General features: G+C 47.8%; 4 annotated features.

The window, feature by feature from the left end:
- Nucleotides 383-996: an enhancer, noted in NCBI's record as "H3K4me1 hESC enhancer chr1:4696215-4696828 (GRCh37/hg19 assembly coordinates)". NCBI's record gives its function as "activates a minimal SCP1, AML or CMV promoter by ChIP-STARR-seq in naive H9 embryonic stem cells {active_cell/tissue: H9 hESC(naive)}" and the evidence as "EXISTENCE:reporter gene assay evidence [ECO:0000049][PMID:30033119]".
- Nucleotides 1,609-2,220: an enhancer, noted in NCBI's record as "H3K4me1 hESC enhancer chr1:4697441-4698052 (GRCh37/hg19 assembly coordinates)". NCBI's record gives its function as "activates a minimal SCP1, AML or CMV promoter by ChIP-STARR-seq in naive H9 embryonic stem cells {active_cell/tissue: H9 hESC(naive)}" and the evidence as "EXISTENCE:reporter gene assay evidence [ECO:0000049][PMID:30033119]".
- Nucleotides 2,221-2,832: an enhancer, noted in NCBI's record as "H3K4me1 hESC enhancer chr1:4698053-4698664 (GRCh37/hg19 assembly coordinates)". NCBI's record gives its function as "activates a minimal SCP1, AML or CMV promoter by ChIP-STARR-seq in naive H9 embryonic stem cells {active_cell/tissue: H9 hESC(naive)}" and the evidence as "EXISTENCE:reporter gene assay evidence [ECO:0000049][PMID:30033119]".
- Nucleotides 16,828-16,877: an enhancer, noted in NCBI's record as "active region_69". NCBI's record gives its function as "activates an Ori minimal core promoter by ATAC-STARR-seq in GM12878 lymphoblastoid cells {active_cell/tissue: GM12878}" and the evidence as "EXISTENCE:reporter gene assay evidence [ECO:0000049][PMID:35858748]".

Here is a 17,340-nt window from a genome sequence, read left to right on the forward strand (position 1 = left end):
GAGCACCACCATGTCTGGCTAAATTTTGTATTTTTAGTAGAGACATGTTGGCCAGGCTGGTCTGGAATTCCTGAACTCAAGTGATCCACTGGCTTCGGCCTCCCAAAGTGCTGGGATTACAGGCATGAATCACTGTGAACCACTATACAGTTTTTGTATGTAATATGTTTCCAGAATGAACTTGCTACTTACGATATTTAACTACAATGAAAAAAGCTGTCTACTCATTGGGGGTCTCCCTAGAAGTCACTATGTTTTCCGTTAATTTGTCGGAGGGTTTTATGATGACACGGGTGAATGAGTTTACCAGGTGACCAGGGGGCCTCGCCTGCAGGACAAAGAGGGATTTCAGCCTCAGCTGGAATGAACCGTGCTGCCCACCTGCACACACACCCATCCATTCACCTTCTCACACACCCATCCATCTGCTCCATAACCAGGGACTCAGCACCTCTGGTGAGCCAGGCAGCATGTGACTCCCCTGTGGTCTCTGCTCTGACCCCGAAAACACCCAATAGAAGGGAAAGAGCTTCCTTGACAAGTGTGGACATCACCTTGTTCTCAAACACCGAAGTATACGCTGAGGCTGCAGCACCCCTCGTGGAGCCGGGAGTGGCTTCCCAGGCAGCCTCTGGGCATCTGCAAGAACCAGGCACTGAGATGGCCAGAGGCAAGGCCTGCCCTGCTGGGAACGAGGGGTCCAGTGGGAGAAACAGAAAAAGAAGGAGGAGGAGAAAAAGAAAGATGACGGCAGAGGGGGAGGAGGAGACCCTGCCATGGGCTGTGGCACTGGAAGGGGATCCAGCTAATCGAAACAGGAAAGTCGGGAAACTTCTCAGGAGAGGTGACACTCACAGGAGTCCTGAAGGACTGGGGCAAGTTGGCCAAGGGACATGAGTACAAGGAGGAGCTCTCCAAGATGAAGTGCTGGCCGACGCAGGGGCCTAAGGGTGAGTGAGGTGGACAGAGGACTTCGGGGACGAGCACACGAGGCAATGGCAGCGCTGAGGAAGGAGCGGGCGATGTAATGGTGAGTACCAAGGAGCACGCCCGGAGGAAAGAGGAGCCAGGCCCTGGAGAGCCTCTGGTGCTGTGCGGAGGATCTGCGTCCTATCAGAGCAACAGGGAGCCCTTGTTGCATTTCAAGCCAGGGAGTGGCATCCCCACGGCGGAGGGCCCCCATCACTGTAACTTACTGAAAGCTTATTCTGTGCCCAATGCTGCTTCCAGGGCAGGGCCTATGATGACTCAGCTAACAGAACCACCAAGAGGTGGAAACTATCATTAGCCCCATTTTATGGAAGCAGCAATTGAAGCACAGAGCAGTTAAGTAACTTGCCCGAGGACATGCAGCTGGAATTTCAGATGCAAAGCCAGGGTTTGAGCCCAAGCCACCTGCCGGAACCTGTGGCTTAGCCATGCTGCTCTGCTGCCGGTGCGCCTGTGACTTTCGATCCTACAGCCCTTCAGAAGACGGTGACCATGGGAGGGGGCTGCAGAGAGTCTCAGAAGCTTGGACACCCGAGGTGCTGCTTCCTGGAGTGTTTCGGGAGCTCGCCTCTGACCTCATTGTCTGGACCCCACTCAACAGACACATTCATTCTCAGGAAAGCCCTTGTCTGGTTAATCACGCTGAGTGGAAATCAGAGGTTTTTTTTTTTTTTTTTTTTTCATCAAGAGTCTGAAAGCTCCATTTTCAAAGGATGCCTCTCGCTGAACAAATGAATAGCCATCTCCTTATAAAGCATTCTGCTTTGAAATTCTGGGATGAAAGGGCCAGAGCACAAATGATTGCAGTGCTGGTAATAATGGTAACAATAATCATGATGATCATACTGTACCGGGATTTTATTTTTGAAGTCAGGGGAGGGCTCATTCGTGCTCTCCGGCTTCAGGCTGAAAGCCTGAACCAGGCCCTTCTTAGAAGCCGGGATGCGATCAGGCTGAGAAAAGTTTCTCGTGCGGAAATAGGGCCTCGGGTAAAGCAGTGCTCTCATCTTGGGCTCTCCCCTCCCTTCCCGGGGCCTTCTGATAATCTGACAAAGGTGTTTTAGTCCCTGGCAGCAGCCGCTGGGACCACCAGGGACGAAAACGTGTTAAAATCCAGGACAAACATTCTGCAGCATCTCGGGGCCGGGCCACGTGTCTGTCCCGCACTGCAGCCTTGCGGGGTGGGAACGTCTGTTCTGCCCCAAATACGGGGAATCCCTCACCTTGGAGCAGGTCAGTGAGAACCTCAGACACTGGTGTGTGCGGAGACTCAGGAAGTGGCCCACACTGGCGTGGAGGAAAACGAGGGAAATGGATTTCTGTCCCCGCCCCAACAACCAGGCCAGTCCCCGCGCCATGTCCTTCTAATCCGCGCTGCGCTCCCTCCTCCGGCTGAAGGTCATCTTCCACTTCGTGCTGGGAGCACAGGAAGCTGCCAGGCAGGCTGCGCTGGGGGAGAAATCACAAGATGCTCACATCAGCGGACCGTCCTTGTTGAGCTGCAGAAAAATAAGAGTAATCGCGGGAGAAAGTAAAAGGAACAGAGCCTTTGGAGCTGGAATGTGCTCTCCAGCCAGGACACTTATTTTTGCACGCTCTCTGTGGGAAATGGCCTTGAAAAGACGGCCGTACGGTGTTCCCTTTGTGCGTTTCAAGATTCAGTTCCCTGGGTGTTCTCCCTTCCCCTGTCCTGTGCAGGGTCGGGGTGGAGGCCCTCCTGCAGGCCCTACAGCAAGCGACTTGGGGTTTCCCAGGCTCTCATGCGTCAGAGGCAAATGAGGAGGAAGTGACAGGATTATTTAAGGAAGTTGGGCAACTTTTGTAACGTGGCACTGTCGGGGGCAAACGGGGTAAGGTGAGTTTTCTGACTCCTCCATCCCAGTGGGAGGAAACAGAGCCCACCTTGCCCTCTAAACACAAGGGAACCCTCGGCTGAGTGAAGAGACCAGAGGCTATGGGAGGGTTTGGCTTAGAGAATTTTCTGGTTAACAGAGGATGAGGCAATGATTCCATCTTGATTCCTGACCTCACAGGAAACCCTTAGAAATCACTTCACTTCCTGGTCTCCATTGGGAACCTCAGTGCAGGGAAGAGAAGGTGACCCTTACCTGCTGGCCGAGGCTTATGGGGTCAGCACTGTTGCTGCTCAGGACGCAGACTGAGTGCAGGGAAGGAAGGACAGAGAACCCCCGGGGTGTCTTGCTTTTTGAATTCTTGTTTGTTTCCCTTCGCAGACTTTAGGTGCACATAATTTGAGGAATGCCACGCCTGGGTTCATGACTCGCCAGCCATGCCTGGCCCTCTTTTGCTATTATTATTACTATTTTTTTGAGACAGAGTCTAGCTCTGTTGCCCAGGCTGGAGTGCAGTAGCACTATCTTGGCTCACTGCAGCCTCTGCCTCCCAGGTTCAAGTGATTCTCATCCTCCTAAGTAGCTGGGATTACAGGCGCATGCCACCATTCCTGACTTTTTTTTTTTTTTTTTTTTTTTTTTTTTTTTGAGAGAGCGTTTCACCCAGGCTGGAGTGCAGTGGTGTGATCTCGGCTCGCTGCAACTTCTGCCTACCGGGGTTTAAGCAATTCTCCTCCCTCAGCCTCCCAAGTAGCTGGGATTACTGGCACCCGCCACCACGTCTGGCTAATTTTTTCTTTTTCTTTTTTTTTTAGTAGAGACAGGGTTTCGCCATGTTGGCCAGGCTGGCCTCGAACTCCTGACCTCAGGTGATCCACCCACCTCGCCTCCCAAAGTGCAGGGATTACAGGTGTGAGCCACCGCACCGGGCCTAATTTTGTATTTTTAGTAGAGGCGAGGTTTCGCCATGTTGGCCAGGCTGATCTTCAACTCCTGACCTCAAGTGATCTGCCTGCCTCGGCCTCCCAAAGTGCTGGGAATACAGGTGTAAACCACTGTGCCTAGTCTATTATTATTATTATCATCATTGTTGTTATTTTTAGTTTCTTTATTTTATTTATTTATTTTTTTGAGACAGGGTCTCACTCTATCACCAAGACTGGAGTACAGTGGGGTGATCTCGGCTTATTGCAGCTTTGACCTCCTGGCCTCAAGTGTACCTCCCACCTCAGGCTGCCAAGTAGCTGGGACCACAGGTGTGCACCACCACACCCAGCTAATTTTTGTATTTTTGTAGAGACGGGTTTCACCACGTTGTCCAGGCTGGTCTCAAACTTCTGGGCTCAAGCAATCCTCCTTCTCAGCCTCCCAAAATGTTGGGATTCAGGCATGAGCCACCAAACCAGGCCTAGTTTCTTTATTTTTAACAACACAAGGCACTCCCATGAATCCACCATGCCACCCAGGAACTAGCAAACTAACTTGCATGTGCCTATAAACTTCTACAGAAGTTAGTGCTGATCATTCCTTCTCTGAAAATAGCTGTGTTATATCTACATGGATGCCTCAGAGCATATTATTTATCTTATCTGATTTTCTAGCCTTTATTTTGAGAAAGAATATCATGCTGCATGTAGTCTTCCGGTACTTGCTTTTTTTCACTTAACCTAATTACTAATTAAGTTGGGTTTTTCTTCAAATGTTTATTGGCCAGCTATATTTTCTCTCTTGTGAAATGTCTGTTTCTATATTTTTGTTCACTTTCTGATTGGTGCATTTATCTTTGCATTAATGATGTCTGGTTTTAAATATGAAAATATACATACACACACACACATATATACACATTATATACGTACACATATATATATATAATTAATATTAATGTTTTTTCAATTACACATGTTGGAAATATCTTCTCCCAGTTTGTAGCTTGTCTTCATTTTCTTGAAGGAATTTTTGATAAACAGAAGTTCTTAATTTTAATGCAATCAGTGTATCGATCTTTTACGTAAGTGCTTTGTGTATTTTGTTTAAGAAATCCTGGGATCTCAGGAAAGCGTCTCACTCTGGCTCACGGTGGGCACTTCATATATCACTGAATGAAGGAATGAATGAATGAGTGAAAGGGCAAACGAGTGACTGAGTGGCCAGCACTTCAGTCACACTAAAAACATTAGGAACAGTAATTTATCCACCTCCCCAAGCCCCATGAGGAGAGCCTGTGTGTTAGCCGTAGCAGCAGACAGCTAACCTCCTGCCTCTTGTGCAGGTCACCCAGGGAGGAAAAAGCCAGCGCAGACCTCGGCCAGGGCTCCCGACTCTGGAACACGCACCGCAGACCTATCCCTGGGGCTGCCTCCTAGAGCTAGTAACGATTCTTACTTTCCAGGGCTGCTGTGGGGGTTAAATGGCTCAGATTGAGAAACCATTTGGCACATAGTAGCTAGTTTATTATATTAGCCAGTACTGATACCATCATCATCGTCATCATCATCATCACCTCATCACAGAGCGGGTGTTCAAAGATTATTTTTGAATGAGTGAATGAGCAGCTATGTCGGCTCGGGATGAACAGTGCTTGTTTTACAACTGAGGCCGGTAGACACAGCCACTGAGTCTCCGTCTCAAGCCTCATTCTTTTTTAAAAAAAATTATTATTGCTAATGTAAATAACATTTTGATTAAAAATACCATTTCCAAATTAAAAAGAAATTACATGAGGCAGCTGGATTCTTCTCTCTGTTTTTTTCATTCAATCTGTTGCAATACATTGTTTTGGTTGAAGAATAGGAAAAGAACCTGGCCTCATACTTCCAAGTAGTTTGAAAAGAGATGAGTGTCTTACTAGCCTTCTCAGGTAACACTGGGTATCTTGTTTGACATCACACTGAAATTTGACAAGTTGGGGTTTCTTTGATAAGTAGTGGTTGATTAATGATGGGTTGTAAGTGGAATTCCATACCCATGCATTTTGTACTCTATTACATTACAATGCGCTGGTTTATCTTACTTTGAGTGGACATTTTACCCATGCATGATTTATTTAAAAGGCTTTATTGAAATGTAATTCATATGCTATACAATTCAGCCACTTAAAGTATATAATTCAATAGTGTAAAGTGTGCATTTCAATTTAACTTGGTGGATTTTGGTGTATCTGCAGTGTGTGCAACCATCACCAATGTCAATTTTGGAACATACCATCACCTCAGAAAGAAACTGTGCCCTTTAGCTATCACTCTTCTATCCTCCTTCCACCCCCCCACTTAAGCAGCCACTTATCCATTCTCAGTCTCTTTAGAACATCCTATTCTGGACATTTCCTATCAATGAACAACACGTGGCCTTTCCTGTTTGGTTCTTACACTCAGCACCATGTTTTCAAAGGTTGTCCGTACACTCAGTGCCATGTAAATAACATTTTGATTAAAAATAACATTTGCAAGTTAAAAAGAAATTATATGAGGCGGCTGGATTCTTCTCTCTGTTTTTTCATTCAATCTGCTGCAATATGTTTTCAAAGGTCTTCCGTGTTGTGCCAAGTGTCAGCGTTCCCCTCCTGTTTCCGGCCACAGAATATGATGCCACTGTCTGGATAAATCACCTTGCATGTATCCATCATCCACTGATGGGCATTTGGGTGTGTCCACTGTTTGACTGTTGCGCATAATGCTGCTATTAACATGTGTGTACATGTGTGGACTTTCACTCCTCATTCTTAACACCCTGGGTGGGGTTACAGAGCCCAGGGGGGCTCTGTCTAATGCTGAAAGCCATTGGTGTGGCAGTACCTGGTGGATAGGGTCAGTGTGTTCTGGACAGAACTGTGGCCTCCAAAGACTCATATGCCAAAGCCCCAAACCTCCACTGAACATATTTGGAGACAGGGCCCTAAAGGAGGTAATTAAGGTTAAATGAGGCCATAAGAATGTGGTCCTAGTCCTATAGGACTGTTTTCTTATGAGCAGAGGAAGAGACATAAGGGTTGCACACACACACAGGGGGATGTTGGGGACACACGAGGACACAGCCAGAAGACAGCCACCTGCAAGCCAAGAAGAGAGGCCCAAGGAGAATCCAACCCTGACAGCACCTTGTTTTGGATTTTCAGGCTCCAGAACTGGGAGAAGATGAATTTCTGTCGTGTACCACCCCTAGTCTATGATCTTCTCTTATGGCAGCCCTAGGAATTGAAGATCGTCACTGCAGAACTGACTGTAGAATTTATTGTCCAAGCTAGGGTGCTTTGAGTGCAAAGGGGCCGCTGTGAACCCAAGGACCACAGCTCCAGGCAGACCAGAACATATGGGTCACCCTGCTGGCCAAGAGCCCCCCTCCCTCTGGGGAACTCACTTCTCCTAGATTGGCAATCACCTTCCTAAACACTACACAAAGAAAGCTACCTGCCCCCTCTTCCCATCTCAAGCCAGGGTTAATTAATATCTCCGATGTCCCAATCCCAGAACACTTAATAACTTTCTCATCTGTATCTTTGGGACTTGATATTTGATCAGAGGCATCTGGGCATGGAGAAAACCCAATCTCAGCAGACCCTCATCCCAAGTCCAGGTTTCAAAGGGATGCTTGTCTGGTCTATGTTTGCTGAAATTCAGTGGAACAAAATGGAAAATAATATGAGAGTAGAGACTTCATTTGTTGGATTCAGCCATCACAGAATAAATTTTGGCTAAATGAATTGAAGAATGACTGAATCTAAACTGCCAATTGCTCTATTCAAAGAGAAGGTAAGCCAAATATGTGTGGGTTATTATTTTTCTACCAAGTTTCTTAGAGGCACAGGCATCTCTGTATCCCGCATAGCATTTAGCAATACCTTGTGTACAGTCAGTCTTCTCTAAATTCCTACTGAACAAGTTATGACTATCATGAACATGTGTGGCTGTGGCACACACTTTCCTACATTCTGATTCTACTAACTGTCTTCTGGGACCCAGACACTACCATTTCGCAGTAATACATGGGATCATTTTGCTCCTACAGGCAAGGAAGTCTAGGGAATGTAGTTTGCAGGTTTCTAACCCCTGAGAACAGGAGAGAATTTGGAAGGGTGGTGATGGTGCCGAGAACCACAGAAAATAGCCAGTGACTTCGGAGATTTTCAATGAACAATTGTGCATTTATATCTTATGTATCTGTCTAGATTATGAACGGCTTGTGAGGGCAGGGACCAAGGGTGTTTAATTTACCGAAGCATACTTGGGACCTAGGATCATGTGCAATAAATGCTTGCTACATAAAGCTTAAGTTAATAGACACTTGATGGCTGTCCTCAGGTCTCAGATGTACACCAATTTCAATCAGTTTCACTGATAGTGGGCCTCATACCAACAATGGTGACTGTTCGAGAGTGCCCAATAGGACGGGTTTTCATAGTTCATCCTCAGCCTGGCCCCCAAGGCATGGTTCTTCCCCTCCCATTCTCTAGATGTGAAAATCACGGTCAGGGAGGTGATGTCAATGGTCTAAGATCATGCAGCTGGTAGGTGGTGGAGGTAGAACTTGAAATTATTTGTTTAATTCCCCAAAAAAAAAAACAAAAAAAACAACCAAAACCCAGAAACAAAAACAAAACAACAAAATTGTGTTCTTCTGAGTAACATGCTTCTTCTTGCTTGATACAAGTGTCTATACTGATTTCACGGACCTGTGTGTCCTGGGGGGCGGGGTGGGATGGCAGGGAGGGATGTGTCCTGGGGGGAGGCGTGGGATGGCAGGGAGGGACGTGTCCTGGGGGGGGTGTGGGATGGCAGGGAAGGATGTGTCCTGAGAAGGGGGGTGGGATGACAGGGAGGGACGTGTCCTTGTGGGGGAATGGGATGGGATGGCAGGGAGGGACGTGTCCTGGGAAGGGGGGTGGGATGGCAAGGAGGGATGTGTCCTGTGTGGTGGCAGGGAGGGACGTCTCCTGGGCGAGGGTGGGGGAATGGCAGGGAGGGACGTGTCCTGGCAGTGCTCCTTCCCAGTGCAGACCCTGGATTGCTATCGCCACTTTCTATGGCTTGGGAAAAAGAAACTCCTTGAGTTCATTTGGGAAGCCTTGGACCTGATTCAGCGTTTAAACATCTGCTCAGAAATGGAGATCCATGTTGCCCTCTCATGAGCCTTCTGTTGGTGCCTACAATAAAGAACCTTCATCAGAATGCACACCCAGAGCCAGGAGGAGTCAGCCTCCTGGGAGACTCAGCATTTACCTCTTCACTTAGTGAAAAGTCCAGCAGCACTGGAACAAAGGGATAACGAATTTCTTAGCTTCACCACTCCATCCCAATGCCAATCTCAGCCAATAATATAACTTTGAGCTTTGGTGAAATCGGTGTAGATAAAATTGTATAAGGGATAATGTGAAGGCTTAGCTTAAAACCCATGTGTTATGTTTCTGTTTAGCCCTTTGACTCTACATTTATCTCAGTCTTCCTCTTTGATTATGACTTTTTTTTTTTTGAGACAGAGTCTTGCTCTGTCGCCCAGGCTGGAGTGCAGTGGTGCGATCTTGGCTCACTGCCACCTCTGCCTCCTGGGTCAAGCTATTCTCCTGACTCAGCCTCCTGAGTAGGTGTGACTACAGGCATGCACCATCATGCCTGGCTAATTTTTGTATTTTTAGTAGAGATGGGGTTTCACCACGTTGGCCAGGCTGGTCTTGAACTCCTGACCTCAGGTGATCCACCTGCCTGGGCTTCCAAAGTGCTGAGATTACAGGCGTGAGTCACCATCCCTGGCCTACTATAACTTTTAGTAGCAGTAGTTAAGATTCTTCCCTAGAAAAAACTAAAACCCTGAAGAAATGAAGGCCTGTGTTTGAGTTTTAACTGCTTTGCAGTTAAGCACTTGCCCCCTTTGTCAATTTAGGGTTATATCTGGCCGAAAGTTATAGAAAACTGGAGTAAACTACAGCTTAAACTAATGAAAGATTTCCTTTTCTTGCCTGATAGCAAATCTGGAGACAGGTAATTTGGGGTTCAAATGGACATCTGTGATATCTCTGGGCCCTAGACTACTTGTATTATTTTTCCCTGGTATTATCAGAATGCAGCTTCTACCCTCAGACCTGTTACTGCCTGATGACAACATGGCTGCTCCACCTTTTGCATCTCATCTGCATCCCAGCCAGGACTAAGGACACGGAAAGGAAAAAGATATGTGGAAACAGGTCAGTCCTCTCCTTAAGAGCTTTGCCAGAAGTCACATCAAGCAACTTCTGCTTACACATCATTGGCCAGAGCTGTGTCACGATCAACTCTAGGTATAAGAGAGGCTTGCAAATATAAACTCTTGGCTTGGCACATTTGTTATACCCCCTCCCTCTCCTCACCACCACCACCGCAGTTTTGTTAGTAAGGAAGAAGAGGAGAATGAACATTGGGTGGTCAGTGGGCAGCATGTCACCTTCTTAGCAATTAGCCATGTTCCATCAAATAAAACAAAAGCAAACATTGCACATCAGCGCACTGTCAAAGGTGAGATTTAGGACCAGCATTGTACAGGGATCAGCTCTACTGTATGCAGGAAAATAACCATCAGGACAGCAATTCATAGCATTTGGATATCGCTGCCTTGAACACATGCTGCCTGCTAGGGGTCCTGCTGCACCGCACAGTCAGAGCATGGGAAATCAACGGGCTGAGCTGTGACTTTGTCTCAAGTGTCCTCCATGGGATGTACTAAAGGAGGCCTTGGCATCGGGCAGGTCAGGTCTGGGTCATTTGTCAGCACTTCCCAGCTGAAGGCTCCTCTGACATATGCACCCCTGATCAGGCAGCCATGCTGGATGTTGCAAAACTGAACAGTTGGGTCATAGCCTGGACCCCAGCCTGGAGCTTCTTCTCCTAGGAACCAGCTCTCTGTCTAAGGAAAAGCCAGTGATTGCCTGGCTCTCTCCGTGGCCAGCCTCCACTTCAGTGCCCGGGCTGCATGGGTGTTAGATTTTTAAAATAGTAGGCCTAGGTATGATAATGTTACCAACCCTTCTGGGTCTTTGTGGAGGTTAAATGAGATCACAAATGTGAAATGCATCCTGCCGAGGCTGATGCTTATAGACAGGGGTGAGTTTTAGTCCGAACTAGAGTGAACCAGCTGGGTCTCTGTTCTGCATCAGGCCACTCAATAAGTGAAATGTCTTCCTTCCTCCCCAGCATGTTCCAGAAGCTTCTTCAAGTCCAAGGACAGCAGCTCAGACAGGGAACTGCTGGAGGAAGTGGCTTTTCTGCTCAATTACCCTCTACCTTGGTGGTGGGTTGCCTGTATGCCACCAGAGCTGCTGCTTGGGGATGAGGTCCTGCAATGACTGCCCAAAAAGGGGGCCACAGGAGGGTCAGCTGCTTTTTCATGTTTTAAGAATGGGTATCTTGGCAGATACTGAATCCCAACAAAATTCTAAAAAAATAATAATGCCGATGGTTTGATGGTGATGGTGGTGGTGGTGGTGGTGATGATGGTGGCTGTGATGGTGATCGTTGTGATGGTGGTGGTGATGGTGGTGATGGTCATGGTTGTAGTAATGGTGGTGGTAATGGTGATGGTGGTGATAGCGATAGTGATGATGGTGGTTGTGATGGTGGTGATGGTTGTGATGGTGGTGGTCATGGTGGTGGCGATGATGATGGCGGTGGTGGTGATGATGATGGTGGTGGTGGTGATGATGGTGGTGGTGGTGGTGATGGTGGTGTTGGTGATGGTGGTGATGTTGGTGGTGATGGTGATGATGATGGTCTTGGTGATGGTGGTGATGATGATGGTGGTGATGTTGGTGATGGTGGTGGTGGTGATAATGATGGTGGTGTTGGTGATGGTGGTAGTGATGATGTTGATGATAGTGGTGATGGTGATTGTGGTGGTGGTGGTGATAGTGGTGGTGGTGCTGGTAATGATGGTAGTAGTGATGATGATGATGGGGGTGGTGGTGTTGATGGTGGTGATAATGGTGGTGGTGATGTTGGTGATGGTGGTGGTGATAATGACAGTGGTGGTGATGACGATGGCAGTGGTGTTGGTGATGATGGTGGTGGTGATAATGACAGTGGTGGTGATGATGATGGCACAGTGGTGGTGATGATGATGGCAGTGGTGGTGGTGATGATGGTGGTGGTGATGATGGTGGTGATGCTGGTGGTGATGAGGAGGAGGGTGGTGATGATGGAGATGATGATGATGATTTTTTATTGGTATATAATATTTGTACATAGTTTGAAGGTATGTGTGATATTTTGATTCATGTATATAATGCATAATGATCAAATCAGGGTAATTAGGATATCCATTCCCTTGACCATTTATCTTTTCTTCATGTTGGAAACTTCCCAATGCTTTTCTTCTAGCTATTTAAAAATGTACAATAAATTATTGTTGACTATAGTCACCATACTGTACTATTAAACATGCGTATTAACCAACCTCTTGAGGACTTTTATTGAACGACCACAGCTCTACCTTCTAGATAGAAGCACAACCCTGAAAGATGCATTATCTAGCCATCTTAGAATTAGAGGTGAACCCCATCACTCCTACAGCCCAGTGTTATTTACAAGTCCCCGCCTCTGGTGTCCACCTCATTGATCAAGGATCTATGTTGAGCTTTGGAGGCAGAAGAAGGGATGCAAACTCAGCATGCTTCATGGGAAACATGCTTCTTCTTTCTCACAAATTCTGACATTATCAAGTTTAGGGGCCTGAGAAAAACAAGACATACATTATCTTCTCGAGTTGTTGGTGCCCGTGAGTGTAGAAGATTGTATGACGGTGCAGTGTCCCGTATCCTCCCTGTGTGAGGTTTACACTTTCTCACTCCCCACCCAACATCAGCCTGGCCCTGTGACTTGCTTTGCCAATGAAATGTGAGTGGATGTGACATATGCCTCCTCCCAGCAGAAGCCACAAGGGCTATGGCATGGTTCTGCCTTGATTCCTTGCCCTGTGCTATGTGACTGGGATGTCCCAGGTAAGAGCAACTCCTTCAGGTTGGGTAACAGGATGAAGACAGCATGGAGCAGGGCAGATGCCTGCTGTTGGAGTTTGTAAGCATGAACAAGAAATTGACCTTTGTTGAGTTAAGCCAATTCTGGGGGTTGTTTGTTGTTGCAATATAATCTAGTGCAAGCTGGCTGATGTGGTTTATGAATTGACTTGGAAGAGGCATCGATAGCCCAGGCTCAAAGCTGGTGTCCAGCTTTGCCACTTCTGCATGGAGCTGATGGTCTCCAGAACCTGGTTGGCTGCTCCCAGGTCAGACCTCCAGCTCTACCTGCTTGCACGTCATCCATTTTGGGAGCTCCTCTTCCCAGGCCATGATTGTTCCCAGTGACCCTCATTCACTAGCACTTTCTTTACCCCCTTAAGGCTCAGTCAACATGATGAGTGCCTGTTCTTACCTCCTGTACTCAGGGCTCAGTCAGCAAGATGAGTATATACTCTCACCTCCCCTACTTAGGGCTCAGTCAACAAGATGAGTACATACCCTCGCCTCCTGTACTTAGGGCTCAGTCAACAAGATGAGTACATACTTCCACCTCCTGTACTCAGGGCTCAGTCAACAAGATGAGTACATGCTCTCACCTCCTCTACTCAGGACTCAGTCAACAAGATGAGTACATACTCCCACCTCCTGTACTCAGGCCTCAGTCAACAAGATGAGTACACACTCTCACCTCCTCTAATCAGGGTTCAGTCAACAAGATGAGTGCAGCTCTCACCTCTCATACTCAGGGCTCAGTCAACAAGATGAGTACATACTCCCACCTCCTGTACTCAGAGTTCAGCCAACAAGATGAATACATACTCTCACCTCCCATACTCAGGACTCAGTCAACAAGATGAGTGCAGCTCTCACCCCCTTTACTCAGGGCTCAGTCAACAAGATGAGTACATACTCTCACCTCTACTCAGGGCTCAGTCAGCAAGATGAGTACATACTCACACCTCCTGTACTGAGGGCTCAGTCAACAAGATGAGTACATACTTCCAACTCCTGTACTCAGGGCTCAGTCAACAAGATGAGTACATACTTCCAACTCCTGTACTCAGGGCTCAGTCAACAAGATGAGTACATACTCTCACCTCCTCTACTCAGGGCTCAGTCAACAAGATGAGTGAATACACACACCTCTCCTACTAGCAGAACCAGACCTTCAGGGCCAGTGATGTTATCTCTCGATGTTATGTGAAACCAAGTGCCTGACTCTTTCATGTCCCCATTTCCCCCCTTCCCTTAAATCCAAACTATTTATCTCAAGTCCCATCCTGAGGACTGTGTGAATTTCTGCATTTACTCCTGCTTGTCCCCTATCCAAGGTCCAGAATCCTCTATAATATGAGGAAGGAAGGTCCTATTTCCTAAGTTTCTTTCCAAGTTAGTCGGAGGGTCCCAAGTCTTCCTCTTGCTCCTCTGGCCACTACGGCCTTCCCCTCTGGCTGCCCTACAGTAGAGACACCTCTTCCATCACTCCTCCACACACCTGCAGCACAAGCCTGACTTCTGTGGAGGTTTTCTAGAAGAGGACAGAGCTGCAACACAGGACAGAAATCTGAGATTCTTGTCCCAGTCACAGTTATGAGAAAGCATAAGGGCTTCACTGGTCACCTTATGCCCCTGGCCCTCCCCTTTGGGGCTTCCCTGGTGTGGACCCTACTCTTGGACTCCCCTCTTCTCTCTAATTTCCCACCCCAGACCTTCCAATCCCAGCAATGCCAGGCAACTGCTTTCAAATTGTGTCACTTTACTTTGCAATGCAAATTAACCTTCTTTTTCTTCATCCCTCTCTATCTAAATAGAAGAGGCAAACTGATCAATACAGAAGATCCATAAAAGCCTTGAGATGAGAGTTTTTCTCCATTCTGGGCCAGATCAAATTCTTAGGTGGCCCTCTTTCCATCTGTACCCGGAGGCTATCACTTGCTCAGAGCAAGCCAAGGAATCCCGTCTTCCTCTCTCTGATGCATGGGTACACTTTCACAGGCAGTTCAGACCTGGCATTTTCTCTTGCCGGCCAGTGCTGGGCTGCAGGATGATTGTCTTGTGAGTCATTTTGTGGGTGGGAGTACAGCTTCTTGGCTCCCACCTCTGCCCCAAGGCTTGGTCTCTGCCTTGCGCTCAGCTATGCGTGTAGTGCAGCTGTGTGCAGCCTCACCCAGGAAACAGCTCAGGTGCCAGGGGGAGGAAACCCCAAATCTCCAGCATATAACCTCCCTGAGAAGGAAAAGCGACTTTGCGTCACTCCCCCTGCCCCCGACAACCATGAGCTTCCTGCAAGTTTTACTGGGAGGGGGGTAGCCAGGAAGATAGGAGAGTCAGGGAAGACACTCCTGTGAATGCTTTCAAGAAACTTATAATAATTTTAATCAGCATTTTCCCTTCCATTTAAAATCACAAACTTAGCTACTTAATCAAATGTCATGGTTAAGACACATTTACCTCCTTGGGAGAAAAATGAACAATGGCAGCTCAATTTGGCTTTGGATGGGTTTTAAAAATAGTCAAGTCTGTGAAGGCCATTAGATAAATGGCCTCAGAGAGCTTCAAAGAGGACCTCCTGCAGGGGCCTGCTGGCTCCTTTGTTGGGAAAATAGGGGAGGGGACTAGGTGAGGAGACCGCAGGGGTTCCCCAGGGTTCCAGGCTGTGGACTTCCCCCAGCGGGGAGAAAGGGCCAGAATTAGCAGGGTGACCGGAAGAACTTTCCACAGCATGAACATCTGAACAGTTCCCTTTTGTATCGCCGAAGCTGGGAGGCGTGTGTGTGTGTGTGTGCGCGCGCACACGCGTGTGTGTGTGTGTGTTGGGTGGGAGTGACATACACACAGCTTCCCAATCCCCAAGGGAAGAAAAATGAACCAGTTAGAAATATGAGAGCCATCAATGTATAGAAAACCAGTTCTAGAAATGCTGAAATGCAAGTTAAGGTTTTGTCGTTTTACAGTCTGTAAAAAAAAAAAAAGACAATGATTTTGTCATCGAAATAATAATAATAAGCTGGGCGCGGTGGTTCAGGCCTACAATCCCAGCACTTTGGGAGGCCAAGGTGGGTGGATAACCTGAGGTCAGGAGTTCGAGACCAGCCTGACCAACATGGTGAAACCTTGTCTCTATTAAAAATACAAAAATTAGCCGGGCGTGGTGGTGCACACCTGTAATCCCAGGTACTCGGGAGGCTGAGACAGGAGGCTGAGACAGGAGAACCTGGGAGGCAGAGGTTGCAGTGAGCTGAGATCATGCCATTGCACTCCAGCCCAGGTGACAGAGTGAGACTCCATCTCAATAATAATAATAATAATAATAATAATAATAATAATAGGTGGATTGCTCTTTTTGGAGAGAGGCAGACCTGAGTTACCCTAGAGAAAAAGGAAATCAGTGTACCCTGGTCCCAAATCCTAATTTTAAGCCTGGGTGAGGGCAGAGGGCATCCTCCGTCCCCATAGACTGAAGAAGCCCTCACTCACCCGGGGCAGCAGCTGTAGTCTTAAGGCTCTGACTTCGCCTGGAGACTTCTGCAGGGCTTGTTCCCATCTCGGTTGTCAGAAAACACTTCCTTCTACTATTTTCTTTGTCCAGAGATTCCCAGGGTACTTGGATAGAATTCAAAGGGTCTTTCAACTCGTATGGGGGAAAACTGGCATCTTTATTTAACCCTAACTGAGACTTGGCATTTCCTTTCATTATCAATGTCGGTGGCAGAGCTCAGTGCCTGTGACCGTCAAACATAGAAAGCACTGGCATTTCCATATCACACTGCCATGGCTGCAGTTACCTCAGGATATTATTGCTGCATATCTGGACTTCAAAAGGAACGTAATTTAGGATCTGTCAATTGCTTACTAAGTGTATTAATAAATAATATATACGGCTATATCAGAAATTTGTTTTTATTACTCTTTTGATAATGCATTTGCATAGAATTGGTTTCCTAATAATCCTGGGCTTTTTCATCTATGCACTTAGAAGCCATTCTGAGAGAGGTCAGCAGGTGTCCACAAGGCTGCCCAAGGGGTTCCTGGAGCCGACACGGTCCGGTCCGGAGCCCCTCCCTGCCCTGCTGGCTCCTAGTGTGCGAAGCCGGCCCCTTCCAGGCCCACTCCGGTTGCAGGAAGGGCCTCCCTGGTGCAGCACCGCCTCCTCACACCGCTAGGTGGCAGCACTGCCGGCGCCTCCTTCCCCGCCGGCCGCCATAGGCCCCGCTGGTTCCAGGACCTCCCTGCCTCCTTCGCCTCTTAATGGGATCCGCTCCCTCACACCCCTCAGGGAGAGGCTCTAGGGGACGATGACCCAGGGGCGGCCCGGCAGGGAAACTGCTGAGTCACCCTGCTGCCTCTCGGGTCCTCTGACCGGCTCACAGATCACCATAGCCACAGTGTGTGTAAGGCCTTCTCATGGAGCCCTGCAAACACCTCCCCGGGGAGGGGCTGTGGGACCCATCTTACAGATGAGGAGACCGAGGGTCGGAGAGGCCACACAACTCGGCCAGGACCCCGAGTTAGCAAGCGCTG

Source organism: Homo sapiens, chromosome 1, assembly GCF_000001405.40.
Source record: "Homo sapiens chromosome 1, GRCh38.p14 Primary Assembly".
Lineage (NCBI taxonomy): Eukaryota > Metazoa > Chordata > Mammalia > Primates > Hominidae > Homo > Homo sapiens.